The sequence below is a fragment of the Homo sapiens genome, chromosome 19 (genome assembly GCF_000001405.40).
Source record: "Homo sapiens chromosome 19, GRCh38.p14 Primary Assembly".
Classification (NCBI taxonomy): Eukaryota; Metazoa; Chordata; class Mammalia; order Primates; family Hominidae; genus Homo; species Homo sapiens.
Window position 1 is genome coordinate 54,086,595 of NC_000019.10, and position 15,834 is coordinate 54,102,428.

A 15,834-nucleotide genomic window follows, 5' to 3' on the forward strand; every position below is an offset into this window, starting at 1 on the left:
TAAAAATACAAAAATTACCCGGGCATGGTGGCACGTGCCTGTAATACCAGCTACTCAGGAGGCTGAGGCAGGAGAATCACTTGAACCTGGGAGGTGGAGGTTATAATGAGCTGAGATCATGCCACTGCTGTCCAGCCTGGGTGACATAGCAAGACATTGTCTCAAAAAATACATAAATAAATAATAAATAAACTTATGGTGAAACTGAATCCCTAATGTGGCCGTATTGATAGGTCGGGCATTTAAGAGGTGATTGGGTCATGAGGACTCTTTTCTCATGAATGAACTAATCCATTCATGGATTAATGATTAATGGATTAGTGAGTTAATGGATTAATGGGTTACCCTGGGAGTGAGACTGGTGGCTTTATCAGAAGAGGAAGAGAGACTTAAGTAGCACGCTCAGCTCTTTTGCCCTGTGATGCCCTGTGCCACCTCGGAACCCTCCAGAGAGTCCCCAACAGCAAGAAGGTCCTCACCAGATGCAGCCCCTCCACCTTGGACTTTCCAACCTCCATTAACTACAGGAAATAAATTCCTTTTCTTTATAAGTTATCTGGTTTCAAGTGTTCTGTTCTAAGCAACAGAATACAGACTAAGACACAGACACCAATGCATAGCTTCTGATTTAACAGAATTGTTTTTACAAGCATTTATTCTGCTTGGAAATTCAGATGTCAATCATAAGATTGTTACCAGGGCAACAAAATATTAAGTAAGACCACCAAATGGCACCAAGGTTTCTCCTTCAAAATAATGATTGCAATACTGGCAATAATTTCTAATGTCTTTGGACTCCTACAAGATTATTTTGTGCAAATTACACTTCAAAGCACAGATTTATGGAACCACAGAATGGAACACTGGCTGCTGTAATAAATATCCATAGATCTCCATACTACATAAGACTATAAAACACATTTAGAGCCTTTTTAATATTCTCAGTTTATTAACTTATCAATCCACATTCCGTTTTTTTGTTTGTTTGTTTTGTTTTGTTTTTTTACTTTAAGTTCTAGGGTACATGTGCATAATGTACAGGTTTGATACATGTGCCATGTTGGTTTGCTCCACCCATCAAGTTATCATTTACATTAGGTATTTCTCCTAATGCTATCCCTCCCCCAGCCCCCCACCCCACTCTGTTTTTTTTTTTGTTTTTTTTTTTTTAAGACAGGGTCTCACTGTGTCACCCAGGTTGGAGTGCAGTGGTGTGATCTCGACTCACTGCAACCTCTGCCTCTCGGGTTCAAGTGATTCTCTTGCCCCAGCCCTCCCAAGTACAAGGAATTACAGGGTTGTGCCACCACGCTGGGCTAATTTTTGTACTTTTAGTAGAGACAGTGTTTTGCCATGTTGGCCAGGGCTGGTCTCGAACTTCTGGGCCCAAGTGATCCGCCTGCCTCGACCTCCCAAAGTTCTGGGATTACAGGTGTGAACCACCATGCCTCGCCTAAACTACATTCTTGAATTAGTTTTATGGCACAGAATATCTTTTTCTCCTCTCTCAATGCCCTCTCTCTCTCTAGCTCCCTCTCCTCCCCTACAGCTGCAAAGAAGAGATCTTCTTAATCCATTTCTTAAACTTCTTTTGATCAATTATAAAGAATTTTTTTTTTAGATGGAGTCTCACTCTGTCACCCAGGATGGAGTACAATGGCACAATCTCAGCTCACTGCAACCTCTGCCTCCCGGGTTCAAGTGATTCTCCTGCCTCAGCCTCCCAAGTAGCTGGGACTACAGGCATGTGCCACTATGCCCAGCTACTTTTTTTTTTTTTTTTTTTGTATTTTTAGTAGAGACGGGGTTTCACCATGTTAGCCAGGATGGTCTTGATCTCCTGACCTCATGATCCGCCCACCTCAGCCTTCCAAAGTGCTGGGACTACAGGCGTGTGCCACTACACCCGGCTACTTTTTTTTTTGTGTGTGTGTGTGTTTAGTAGAGATGGAGTTTCACCATGTTAGCCAAGATGGTCTCGATCTCCTGACCTTGTGATCCGCCCGCCTCAGCCTCCCAAAGTGCTGGGATTACAGGTGTAAGCCACTGTGCCCGGCCAATTATAAATATTTTTTAAGGCTAAACTCTGGAATTTTGCTAGTTAGCCTTAAAAGCACAAAGCAGGCCTATAAAGTTCAATTTTACTGGTAGAAAGCAAGAAATGGATGAATAGGATGTTCGCTGACAACCATGCAATTGAAACCTCCTTTGCAAAAATTACGAGAGTGAGCAAAGGATGGCAGTGAAGGAGATCGGATCTGGCCAGCCCCTACCTTGCCTTTGGCCCTCAAACTGCCTGTAGTTATTCCTGGGTTTAGGCTAATCTGACTTGTCTCTTTGGGAGACATTTATTTTATTTTCTTTTATATTTCCTTGAGACGGAGTCTCGCTCTGTAGCCCGGGCTGGAGTGCAGTGGTGAGATCTCGGTTCACCGCAACCTCTGCATCCTAGTTCAAGGGATTCTCCTGCCTCAGCCTCCAGAGTAGCTGGAATTACAGGTGCCTGCCACCATGCCCGACTAATTTTTGTATTTTTAGTAGAGACGGGGTTTCACCATGTTGGCCAGGCTGGTCTGAAACTCCTGACCTCAAGTGATCCGCCCGCCTTGGCCTCCCAAAGTGCTGGGATTAGAGGAAAGAAGGAAAGGAAGGAAAAGAAAGGAAAAGAGAGGAGAGGAGAGGGGAGGGGAGGGGAAGGGAGAGAAAGGAAAGGAAAGGGAGAGAAAGGGAAGAGAGAAAGAAAGAAGAAAAGAGAGAAAGAAAGAAAGAAAGAAAAGAAAAAGAAAGAAAGAAAAAGAAAGAAAGAAGAAAAAAGAAAAGAGAAAAGGAAGGAGGGAGGGAGGGAGGCAAGGAAGGAAGGAAGCAAGAAAGAGAGAAAGAGAAAAGAGGCTCCTTATAAACAACAAAAGACACCCTTCTCACCAAGGGTTTTTGGAAATTCCAGAGTGATGGGGTGAGAAGGGTGTCTTTGGAACCAAAGCTGAAGACCAAGTACATATTTCTTACTATATCACGGTATCACGGGAGGTAAAACGGAGGTGTCCTTGAAGCAGCTCCTCCCCAGCCCCCAATCCTCTTGTGTGCCCGGAGGATCAGAAGAGGTCCCGCCGAGACTCAGCTTAGCTGTGGTTCAAGCCTCTGATTGCGTGGATAAGTACCAGGTTTCCAGAGTGCCAGGGCGGGGCTGCCCCTTGCGGTGGCATTAACTTTCCATGGCTATTTAAAATCAGCAGAGGACACACGATCTTCAGATGGGTCCTGTTTTACTTCCATATTTTCTCCTAGAGAGAAGAAAAATCATTAAACTTTTTTTTGTTTGTTTTTTGTTTTTTTGTTTTATTCGTTGTTTTTCTTTTTTTTGGGACGGAGTCTCGCTCTGTGGCCCAGGCTGGAGTGCAATGGCGTGTATCAGCTCACTGCAACCTCTGCCTCCAGGGTTCAAGTGATTCTCCTGCCTCAGCCTCCCGAGTAGCTGGGATTACAGCTTTGTATTTTTAGTAGAGTCGGGGTTTCACTATATTGGCCAGGGTGGTCTCCAACTCCTGACCTCAGGTGATCTGCCTGCCTTGGCCTCCCAAAGTGCTGGGATTACAGGCGTGAACCACCGCACCTGGCCTACTGTATTTTTTTTTTTTTTGAATAGAGAAGGGAGTCTCAAACTCTTGGCCTCAAGCCATCCTCCTGCCTCAGCTTCCCAAAATGCTGGGATTACGAGTGAGCCACTGCACCTATCCCACCCCCTCCCACCCTCATTTTTAGAAGGGCACAGGCTAGAGACCATATTTCCATCAGTCACTTTTGCGGCTAGACCTGGCCATGAGACTAAGTTCTAGCCAATGGGATGCGATAGGAAGATATATGCTCAAATTCTAGGTCCTGCTCTTAAAAAATAATTGTGTGGGCCGGGCGCAGTGGCTCACGCCTGTAATTCCAGTACTTTGGGAGGCTGAGGCAGGCGGATCACGAGGTCAGGAAATCGAGACCATCCTGGATAACACGGTGAAACCCCGTCTCTACTAAAAATACAAAAAAAATTAGCCGGGTGTGGTGGTGGACGCCTGTAGTCCCAGCTACTCGGGAGGCTGAGGCAGGAGAATGGCGTGAACCCGGGAGGCGGAGCTTGCAGTGAGCCGAGATCGCGCCACTGCACTCCAGCCTGGGCGACAGAGCAAGACTCCAACTCGGAAAAAAAAAATAATAATAATTGTGTGAGCCCTTTTCTCTCTGTCCTCTCCACTTTCTTGGGGCTCAGAACCAGAAATTAAAGCTACATGTTGATAAAAGCAAAACCATCCCACCTTAACAAGTAAATCGTTGAGATTGCCCAGTGATTTACTGTTAAGTGAGAGAGAGGTACATTTATATCTAGTTTTTTTCCGGTGGTGAAGGAGATTCTTTTTTTCTCTCTCTCTCTCTTTTTTATGAGATGGAGCTTGGCTCTTGTTGCCCAGGCTGGAGTGCAATGGCACGACCTCGGCTCAGTGAAACCTCCGCCTCCCGGGTTCAAGTGATTCTCCTGCCTCAGCCTCCCGAGTAGCTGGGATTACAGGCATGCACCACCACACCAGGCTAATTTTTTGTATTTAGTAGAGACAGGGTTTCACCATGTTAATCAGGCTGCTCTCGAACTCCTGACCTCAGGTGATCCACCTGCCTTGGCCTCCCAAAGTGCTAGGATTACAGGTGTGCGCCACTGCACCTGGCCGGGAGATTCTTTTTTACAACAGCTTAAAGTGCTCTGTAACCAATACACTATGCAGTGATTTGGTTAATACTTTGTGAGTTCCATGAGTGCAGGGTTTACGTCTGCTATTGCTCCCCACTGGACCGCCGGACTCTAGCACAATGCCATGCACGGTAGACATTGAATACATGAGTGATACGAGGATGAATGAGACTAGGGGAAATCAGTGGAAGCCCTAGGCCTGGCGCAGTGACTCACTCCTGGAATCCCAGCACTTTGGGAGGCCAAGGAAGGAGGATGGCTTGAGGCCAGGCATTCAAGACCAGCCTGGACAACATGGTGAGACCCCATAGCTATAAAAAGTAAACAATTAGCCGGGCGCGGTGGCTCACGCCTGTAATTCCAGCACTTTGGGAGGCCGAGGCGGGTGGATCACGAGGTCAATAGATCGAGACCATCCTGGCCAACATGGTGAAACCCCATCTCTACTAAAAATACAAAAGTTAGCTGGGCGTGGTGGTGGCACACGCCTGTAATCCCAGCTACTCGGGAGGCCGAGGCAGGAGAATCGCTTGAACCCAGGAGGCGGAGGTTGCAGTGAGCCGAGATCGCGTCATTGCACTACAGCCTGGCAACAGAGCGAGACTCCATCTCAAAAAAAAATAATAATAATAATAGTAATAATAAATTGGCCAGGCGTGGTGATGGCAGTGTTGTCATTGCTTTAAGAGGCAGGAACAGGGGGAAAAGACCCAGCAGTCTAACCACACAGACAAGTCCCAAGTTAAGCACTTCTGTGTGACTTGGGGGCTGTTGATAAAGATCAGAAATAACCTATGTGGATCACCCAGCAAAATGACCAGTATGAAAAGATGTTCAGTGGTAGAAAATGAAATAAGCATTGTGACTACAACTCACTCAATAAGCATTCATTGAACACTGGTCACTGGTAAACTGCTATGAAGAAATCTCAGCTGGGTGCAGTGGCTCACGCTTGTAATCCCAGCACTTTAAAGGGAGACCAAGGTGGGCAGATGGATCACTTTAGGTCAAGCGTTCGAGAACAGCCTGGCCAACATGGTGAAACCCCATCTCTACTAAAAACACAAAATTAGCCGGGCATGGTGGCAGGTGCCTGTAATCCCAGCTACTTGGGAGGCTGAGGCAGGAGAATCGTTTGAACCCGGGAGGTGGAGATTGTAGTGAGCTGAGATCACAACACTGCACTCCAACCTGGGAAACAGAGCAAGACTCCATCTCAAAAAGAAAAAAAATCTCAAGCTTATTGGATAGATAAATGCACAGGTAGATAGATGGATATTGAATGAATAAATAGTTCAGTGGATTAAAAACTGGTTAATGAAGAAATGGATGGGTAAATGGATGGAAATATGAATGAATGCATGATGGATAAGGACAAATGAAATAGACAAATGTACAAATGAAAGCAAAGGAAAAAGAGATGCTCAATAGAAATGAATAAGGATGAGAATCAATGCTAGACATGAATGAGTGAATGGTGAATGAAGGAGTGATTGAATGGATGAATACATGGAGTTAAGTTGAAGTACAAACTCGGCCAAGACTTCTTTTTCTCTGCTTTGGGTGGAAATACATTTTAAAAAAAAGAGGGCCGGGCACGGTGGCTCATGCCTGTAATCCCAGCACTTTGGGAGGCTGAGGCGGGCGGATCACCTGAGTTTGGGAGTTCGAGGCCAGCCTGACCTACACAGAGAAACCCTGTTTCTACTCAAAATACAAAATTAGCCAGGTGTGGTGGCTCACACCTGTAATCCCAGCTACTCGGGAGGCTGAGGCAGGAGAATCACTTGAACCTGGGAGGCGGAGGTTGTGGTGAGCCGAGATGGCGCCATTGCACTCCAGCCTGGGCAACAAGAGCGAAAGTCCACCTCAAAAAAAATAAAATAAAATAAAATAAAATAAAAAAAGAGGGAAAAAGGAAAAAAAAAGACTCCCTGATGTGCCACTGACTTCCTGTACATGTTTAGGTAAACTTAATATCACCTCTCTTTCCACCATTTTCCCATTTATAAAGTGGGAAGACTGGATTTGATGACATCACAGCCTCATCCAGGTCTGGTGCCTTCCTTATAACCTGCGTCTCTTCTTTATTCTTTTTTTTTTTTTTTTTTTTTTGAGACGGAGTTTTGCTCTGTCACCCAGGCTGGAGTGTGCAGTGATGCAATCTCGGCTCACTACAACCTCCGCCTCCTGGGTTCAAGCAATTCTCCTGCCTCAGCCTCCCGAGTAGCTGGGATTACAGGCGCCCGCCACCATGCCCGGCTAATTTTTGTATTTTTAGTAGAGACGGGGTTTTACCATGTTGTCCAGGCTGGTCTCGAACTTCTGACTTCGTGATCCACCTGCCTCAGCCTCCCAAAGTGCTAGGATCACAGGTGTGAGCCAGCACCCCCGGCTTATTCCTTTTTTAAAATTGTTATTATTTCCCACAGCCACATATGCCGGGGAGGTTGTCCCACATATGTTCTACCAAGGCCCCTCTGGCACTGAGATCAAACCCCGGAAGACCCGCTCAGTCTCTCCTCCCGTCTTTTCAACACGTTAGCGCCCCCAGGTGGCTAATTAGACTTCAAAATTCAGTTCTTGAGGCGGGCGGATCACTTGAGGTCAGGAGTTCAAGACCAGTCTGGTCAACATGGTGAAACCCCGTCTCTACTAAAAATACAAACATTAGCCGGACATGGTGGTACGCACCTGTAATCCCAGCTATTCGGGAGGCCGAGGCAGGTGGATCACTTGAGGTCAGGAGTTCGAGACCACCCTGGCCAATTTGGCAAAACTCCATCTCTACTAAAAATACAAAAATTAGCTGGGCGTGATGGCGCACACCTGTAATCCCAGCTACTCAGGAGACTGAGGCACGAGAATCACTTGAACCCGGGAGGCGGATGTTGCAGTGAACCGAGATCACGCCACTGCACTCCAGCCTGGGTGGAGTGAGATCTTCTCTCAAAAAAAAGAAAGAAAGAAAGAAAGAAAAAGTCGTGCTTGATTATGCTTGATGGCAAAAAGGTGAGACCTTCCTTTCGGCACTGAGTCTGGTAGAAATCGGTGTTACAGGGTAGCTAACATTTATTGAACACTTACTACGGGCCAGTTACTGCTTTAAATGTTTTATGTGTATTACCCACTGACTCCTACAACAATCCTATGAAGTGGGTTTTATCAGTGCATCCATTTTACCGTCAAGGCAAGAGAGAGTTGGGGAAGGGCGCTTTCTGAATGCTGCTACCGTGTCCAGAGTTGGTTCCTTCCTGTGGGTTTGTGGTCTCGCTGACTTTAAGAATGGAGCCAGGGACCTTCGTGGTGAGTGTTACAGCGCTTAAAGATGGCACGGACCTAAAGAGTTAGCAGCAGCAAGATTTATTGTGTAGAGCAAGAGAACAAAGCTCCCACAACGTGGAAGCAGACTCTGGTGGGGTGCCGCGCTCGCCAGCTTTTATTCCCTTATTGTCCCCGCCCGTGTCCTGCTGATTGGTCCATTTTACAGAGCGCTGATTGGTCCATCTTACAGAGTGCTGATTGGTCCATTTTACAATCCTCTTGTAAGACAGAAAAGTTCTCCAGGTCCCCATTCAACCCAGGAAGTCCAGCTGGCTTCACGTCTCACTACTACCTTTCTGTAGCTGCTACTACTACAGTGAGTAGACGGCAGTGCTGGGATTCGAACCCTCTGTCTTCTGGCTTGGAAGTCTTAACCACTAATCGCGTCTTCCTTTCAGCTACTCCTTGGGAAAGGCCTGGAAAGAAGCTACAGCACAGGGCACAGCGGGGTCTAAGGACCGTTCCGCGGAGCTCAGCCAGCAGGACTGTGGGGCTGCAGGAAAGGACAGTCCAGCCCAGGGTCCCAGCTTCTCCGCCACTCAGGTTGGAAGTCTCGGGCTGCAGTGCTCCTGGGGCTCAGGGGCGGATACCAGCAGGAGCGCGGTTCTGACTGCGCCAGTCAAAAGTGACCAGCGCGCCCAGGGAGATGAGGACCAGCCCGGCCAGCCCCAGGCGGACTAGGTTCCCCCGGGTGTAGTCGGAGGAGCCAGAGTCTGCGGGCGGAGCCGGGAGAGAGGGGCCATCAGCTCCCGGACCCCAAAGTCTGGGCCCTGAACTCCAGGTTTCCAGCCCCTGGGGTGGACTTAGGGACCTGACTCTACAGTCTCAAAGTTGAGGGGGAGTCGATGGAGGCTTCAACTCCTGGGTCCAGGAAGAAGGGGCTGGGGCCTGGACTGCTGGATCAGGAAGGAGGGGCTGGGGGCCTGGAGTCCTGGGTCCAGGAAGGAGGGGCTGGGGGCCTGGAGTCCTGGGTCTGAGGGAGGAGGTACTGGGGCCCGGGAATCCTGGGTCTGAGGGAGGAGGAGCTGGAGGACTAGACTCCTGGATCTGAGGGAGGAGGGGCTGGGTCCCAGGAATCCTGGGTCTGAGGGAGGAGGGGCTGCAGGACTAGACCCCTGGGTCTGAAGGAGGAGAGGCTGGGGGCCTGGGCTCCTGGGTCTGAGGGCGGAGGTCCTGGGGCCTGCATTCCTGGGGCGGAGGAGGCGGGCCGGGCCTCAGGGCCCTCACCTTCCCAGCTGATGACCAGCACCTCGCTGCGCTGCGACAGCACGTAGGGCGCGGAGGGCGTGTGATAGTAGCAGCTGTAGGTGCCGGGGGCGCGGGCGCCCAGCAGCGTGAAGTCGGCCCAGGGCTGCGCGGAGTGGCGGTACTGCAGCGGGGCCGCCACGCCCTCGCGGTACAGCACGAAGCTCATGTTCCGCAGGCGGCCCGCGCAGCGCAGGCTCACGTTGGCGCCAGGACCCACCACCGGCCCGGGCAGCGCCACCAGCGACGGCCGCGGCAGCTCCTCTGCAGAGACGGGGTGAGAGTCCGGGGCCGCGTGAGCGTCTTCCGCTCGCTCGCTCGCTCTGTTTCTCCTTCTCCTCTGTCTCTCGCTTTCTCTGTGCCTCTCTCTCTCTTTCTGCCTCTCTTTCTCTCTGCCTGTCTCTCTCTCTGTCTGCCTCTCTCTCTGCCTCCCTCTCTCTCTGCCTCCCTCTCTCTGCCTCCCTCTCTCTCTGCCTCCCTCTCTCTCTGCCTCCCTCTCTCTCTGCCTCCCTCTCTCTCTGCCTCCCTCTCTCTCTGCCTCCCTCTCTCTCTGCCTGCCTCTCTCTCTGCCTGCCTCTCTCTCTGCCTCCCTCTCTCTGCCTCCCTCTCTCTCTGCCTCCCTCTCTCTCTGCCTCCCTCTCTCTCTGCCTCCCTCTCTCTCTGCCTCCCTCTCTCTCTGCCTGCCTCTCTCTCTGCCTCCCTCTCTCTCTGCCTCCCTCTCTCTCTGCCTCCCTCTCTCTCTGCCTCCCTTTCTCCTTCTGCCTCTTTCTCTCTCTCTCCCCCCGCACTGTACCTCTCTCTCTCTCTGCTCCCCTGTCTCTCTCTCTCCCCCTAGTGTCTCTGTATCTGTCTTTTCTTGTGTCTGTGAATCTGTTTGCCCGCCTCGCTCTGTCTCTCTTTCCCTATATCTCTCTGTCCCTCCCCCAACTCCCTTGTTCCACCCACTTCTCCTCCCCGACCCCAGGACCTCACCTGTCACCAGCAGCTCCAGGACATCGCTGGGCTGGGACCAGACACCCGGCCCCCAGTCTGGCCTTCGGTAGCAGCAGCGGTAACTTCCCCCTTGGGCTGGAGTCACCTCCTCCAGAAAGAATTCTGCCAGCTCGGAGGACACATCCCGGAAGAGAAGGGGAGCGATCTCTCCAGGCTTGAAAAGTCCAAATCTCCAAGCGGGTTGGGGTGCCCGGCATCTCAAGGTCACGTTGACCCCAGGGGTCACAACTGTAGCCGGCTGAGCTCCCAGCCATGGCTTAGGGTGGTATGAAGCTGGGGGGACTGAATAAACGGGGCTGCCTGGGTCCTCGGGCCTCCTGGGAGCCCCAGAAGATGAAAGGGAAGTTGGGGAAGGAGGAAAATCACCTTGGACAATTACTGCCCCTTTCTTAGCCTCAGTTTCCTGTTTGTAAAATCAGGGAGAGACTGGACTACAATCAAGCCTTGTTAAAACCAGGTGCAAATCAGAGGGGCAGGACAGAAACTTCTGAGCTTTACTCCACAGTTTGTAAACACAGTTTCAAAAGGTCAGGTCCCAGAACTCTGTAATTTTATTATTATTATTATTTTTAAGTAATGAGATGGGAGGGGGCGGTCTCCCTATGTTGAGCAGGTTGGTCTTAAACTACTGGCCTCAAGCAATCCTCCCACCTCGGCCTCCCAAAGTGCTAAGTTTACAAGCTTGTGCCACCACACCCAGACTTTTTTTTTTTTTTTTTTTTTTTTTTTTGAGGCAGGGTCTTGCTCTGTTGCTCAGGCAGGAGTGCAGTGGCATGTTCTCAACTCACTGCAGCCTCAATCTCTTGGGCTCAAACAGTCCTCCACCTCAGCCTCCTGAGTACCTGGGACCACAGGCACATGCCACTACACCAGGCTAATTTTTTTTTTTTTAATTTTTAGTAGAGACGAGCATTCGCTATATTGCCCAGGCTACTCTTGAACTCTTGGGCTCAAGCAATCCTCCCACCTCGGCCTCCCAAAGTGCTGGGATTACAGGTGTGAGCCACCACGCCCAGCCAGAACTCTAATTTTAAATAGCTTTCCAGAATATTTGCAATATAGTATTTCAAGAGTTGCCAAAACTTGCTATTTGGAAAAGAAAAATGTTGGATCCCTACCTCATACCATTTCCCAAAACAACTTCCAGATTAATTAAAGACCCTGTGTTTCTTTTTTTTTAAACTATAAAAGTATTCAAAAAACTATAGGAAAATATATTTGTCTTGGGGTAAGGAAGGCTTCTTAAAATATAAAATAAAAAGTTGTATGGAAGATTAATTAATTTGACCACTTCAAATTTCTTAAGTTGTGTATGCTAAAAGACAAAACTAGAGGACAAATGATAGTACTGGCAGATATCACTTATTCACAAATCACACAAATTAAGAGTACAGGAAGGCTGTTGGGTCCGGTGGCTCACAGCTGTAATCCCAGCACTTTGGGAGGCCAAGGTGGGTGCATCACCTGAGGTCAGGAGTTCAAGACCAGCCTGACCAACATGGTAAAATCCCATCTCTACTAAAAACAGAAAAATTAGCCAGGCGTGGTAGTGCTAGCTTGTAGTTCCAGCTGTTTGGGATGCTGAGTAGGAGAATTACTTGAACCCTAGAGTCGGAGGCTGCAGTTAGCTGAGATCATGCCACTGCACTCCAGCCTGGGCAACAGAGTGAGAACTCCATGGTGGCATGCACTTTGGGAGGCTGAGGCTGGAGGATTGTCTGAGCCCAGGAATTCAAAGCTGCAGTGAGCTATGATAGAGCCACCGTACTCCAGCCCGGGTGACACAATGAGACCCCATCTCTAAAAATGAATAAAAATAAGGGTCGGGTGAGGGGGCTCATGTTTGTAATCCCAACACTTTGGGAGGCTGAGGCAGAGGGATCACCTGAGGTCAGGAGTTCCAGACCAGCCTGACCAACATGGGGAAACCCTGTCTCTACTAAAAATACAAAAATTATCCGGGCATTGTGGTGTGTGCCTGTAGTCCCAGCTACTCAGGAGGCTGAGGCAGGAGAATCCCTTGAACCCAGGAGGTGGTTGCAGTGAGCCGAGATTGCACCACTGCACTCCGGCCTGGGCGACAGAGAGAAACTGGTCTCAAAATAAATAAATAAATAAATAAAATAAATAGGTAGAGATAGCTATAGCGACACTGAAATATCTCCAAAAGAGTTTTTTTTGTTTGTTTGTTTGTTTTTGAAGTGGAGTCTTGCACTGTCACCCAGGCTGGAGTGCAGTGGCGCGATCTCAGCTTACTGCAACCTCTGCCTCCTGGGTTCAAGCGATTCTCTTGCCTCAGCCTCCTGAGTAGCTGGGATTACAGGTGCGTCCCACCACACCCGGCTAATTTTTTTTTTTTTTTTTTTTTTTTAGTAGAGACGGGGTTTCACCACATTAGCCAGGATGATCTCGATCTGACCTTGTGATCCGCCCGCCTCTGCCTCCCAAAGTGCTGGGATTACAGACGTTGGCCATTGCGCCCAGCCCAAGATCCTATTTCTTAAGCCCTGTACTGTGCCAGGCTCAGGGTTTTGCACATGTGATTTGATGAGATCTCACAGCGGCCCATTTTACAGAGAAGGAAATGGAGTCTTAGCAAGCTGTGACTTGTTCTAGGTCATATGGTCACATATAAATGAATACGATGGTGAAACTGAGGTCCTAGCTTAGGCCTCTGCCTCAGAAGTTCCTGGTCTTCAGTACTCACCTATAATGGCCACTAAGGGGAATGAGAAAAGAAGGAAGGAATGGAGGGAGGGAGGAAAATAAGGATATCTGGGATGGGATTGGGCACCAAAATAAAATCTGAGTAATTGGAAAAGGGGTGTCAGCAACAAAAGGAGAGTGGATGGGGTGGCTACTCACCAGACGGAGTGATGTCTGTGTGACACAGAGGCCCTGTAGGAGGTTGAGGGACTAGTTTCTTTTTCCTTTTTTTTTTTTTGTCTGAGGCAGAGTCTCACTCTGTCGCCCAGGCTGGAGTGTAGTGGTGTGATCTCAGCTCACTGCAACCTCTGCCTCCCAGGTTCAAGTGATTCTCCTGCCTCAGCCTCCGTAGTAGCTGGGACTACAAGTGCCCGCCACCACACCAGGCTAATCTTTGTATTTTTAGTAGAGAGGGGTTTCGCCATGTTGGTCAGGCTGGTCTTGAACTCCTGTCCTCAGGTGATCCACCCGCCTCGGCCTCCCAAAGTGCTGGGCCTCGGCTCCCACAGGCATGAGCCGCTGCGCCCAACAGCGAGTTCTTTTCAAAACCCTTTGTGGCCAGCCCCATCTCATTGGTAACCCAGGAATCTGAGTTCCCAGCTCCTATCTCCTCTGGGAAATGAGAATCTTATCCCTCCCTCCTCCTGTCTCAGTAGGCAGAAATTTGGACATCCATTGCCCACCTACCGAAGAAGTCTGAACGCAGACCCCTCTGGCCTGGGCAACCAAGAGTTCAGGCCCTTGAACTCCACCTTTCCAGGGAACAATGATCGTAGAGTTTCTCCTCTCACGAGTTCAGGAATCTGGGTCCCCATTTCCCTCTTCTCTCAGGAGCTAAGAGCCCTGTTCCCAGCCCCCTTTTCCCAGGGAATCAGGAGTCCTGGCTTCCATCCCCCTCCCATATAAGAATCTGGGAGTCCTCCCTGTCTCCTGACCTCTTCCTGCCTCAAGAACCAGAGATACCTGTCCCCACCTCCTTCCTCTTTCGGGAATCTGTGTTCTCTTGCTTTAGGACCCAGGGGTCTGGGCCCCAGCCCTGTTCTTTATTTGAACCTAGAATCCCAAACCTGCTGCCTGGTCCCCCTGCAGGGTGTCTGGGTCTCCATTGCCTCTCTCTCTGCCCCCAACCCCAGCCAGGAACCCAGGGAGAAGAAAGGGGTGACTCACAGAGGGTCAGCAGCTGGAGGATCAGCACCAGGGCCATGGTGGGCAGATACCCGCTAGAGCTGGAGCCAGGGCTTGGTCGCACCCTCTCCCCTCCCAGGAAATGAGGCAACATCAGAAAACCAGACCCAGATCCTCATTTACGGAAGAGAGTATCGAGGTGGGGGCCTGTGGGTGACTGTGTCATAGCCCTATGGCACTGTGGAAAAATTAGCAGGGGGTTCAGTCATAACCTGTGGTGTTCATTTATTTAACTCTAGAAACAAATACTAGTCAGGAGGTGGAGGCAGGAGGATCGCTTGAGCCCAAGAGTTCAAGAGCAGCCTGGGCAACAGAGCGAGACCCTGTCTAAAAAATAAATAAATAAATTGTGCCACTGCACTCCAGCCTGGGTGATAGAGTGAGACCATGTCTTTAAATATAGATAGACAGATAGAAAGATATCTGTCTGTTTTAAAAATAAGAACCTATTATGTGCCAGACTCTTGCTGTCATTGATTGACAGATAGATAAAAATTTGCACCTATTATGTGCCAGGCCCTTGCTGTGATTGAAAGATAGATAGATGGATGGATGGATAGATAGATAGATAGATAGATAGATAGATAGATAAAAATTAGCACCTGTTAAGTGCCAGGCCCTTGCTGTGATTGATTGATGGATAGATAAAAATTAACACCAATTATGTGCCAGGCCCTTGCTGTGATTAATTGATCGATTGATAGATTGGTTGACAGAGAAAAATTAGCACCTATTATGTGCCAGGCTCTTGGTGTGATACTGTGTTAGATAGATAGATAGATAAAAATTAGCCCCTCTAGGCCGGGCGCGGTTGTTCACGCCTGTAATCCCAGCACTTTGGGAGGCCAAGGCGGGTGGATCACCTGAGGTCGGGAAGTTCGAGACCAGCCTGACCAACATGGAGAAACCCCCGTCTCTCCTAAAAAAGAAAAATTAGCCGGCTGTGGAGGCGCGCGCCTGTAATCCCAGCTATTCAGGAGGCTGAGGCAGGAGAATCGCTTGAACTCGGGAGTCGGAGGTTGCTGTGAGCCGAGATCGCGCCATTGCACTCCAGCCTGGGCGACAGAGCTAGACTCAATCTCAGAAGAAAAAAAAAAAAATTAGAACCTATTACGTGCCAGACCCTCGCTGTGCCATGTTGGCAGGCACAGAGGGAACTCAGACTCCGTTACTGCTCTCAAGCAGCAGCTACCAGTCCGACTGAAAGACCAAGACCAGGTCAGTTTCTTTTTTTTTGAGACGGAGTCTCGCTCTGTCGCCCAGGCTGGAGTGCAGTGGTGTGATCTCGGCTCACTGCAAGCTCCGCCTCCCGGGTTCACGCCATTCTCCTGCCTTAGCCTCCCCAGTAGCTGGGACTACGGGCGCCCACCACCACGCCCGGCTAATTTGTGTTGTATTTTTAAGTAGAGACAGGGTTTCACCATGTTAGCCAGGATGGTCTAGATCTCCTGACCTCGTGATCCGCCCGCCTCGGCCTCCCAAAGTGCTGGGATTACAGGCGTGAGCCACCGCGCCTGGCCCAGACCAGGTCAGTTTCTTAAGTGATCTGAGCTATAATGGCGGTAACAGAGCACTGTGAGAGCCCGCAGAAAGCTCCTAACCCATCTGGGATGAGACCTAGCGCTTCCAGGACGAGCCGATGTTGAGCTGAGACC

The 15,834-nt window shown here is 49.6% G+C and overlaps 1 protein-coding gene across 6 annotated transcripts; it reads right to left on the reverse strand.

Annotated features, from left to right (window-relative positions):
- Positions 1-8,073: 8,073 nt before the first annotated feature.
- Positions 8,074-14,209, reverse strand: OSCAR (osteoclast associated Ig-like receptor). Of its 6 annotated transcripts, NM_130771.6 has the most exons (6): positions 14,162-14,209; positions 13,154-13,186; positions 12,996-13,007; positions 10,268-10,570; positions 9,278-9,559; positions 8,074-8,763 (listed from the first exon to the last, which is right to left on the reverse strand). In NM_130771.6, the coding sequence occupies exons 1-6, from the start codon at positions 14,196-14,198 to the stop codon at positions 8,627-8,629; spliced, it is 804 nt and encodes a 267-aa protein (NP_570127.3). In that variant the 5' UTR covers positions 14,199-14,209; the 3' UTR covers positions 8,074-8,626. The 6 variants fall into 6 exon arrangements, with proteins under 6 accessions (NP_570127.3, NP_573399.2, NP_996554.2 ...); NM_133169.6 differs by lacking the exon at positions 12,996-13,007; NM_206818.4 differs by having other exon boundaries at positions 8,074-9,559.
- Positions 14,210-15,834: the final 1,625 nt, after the last annotated feature.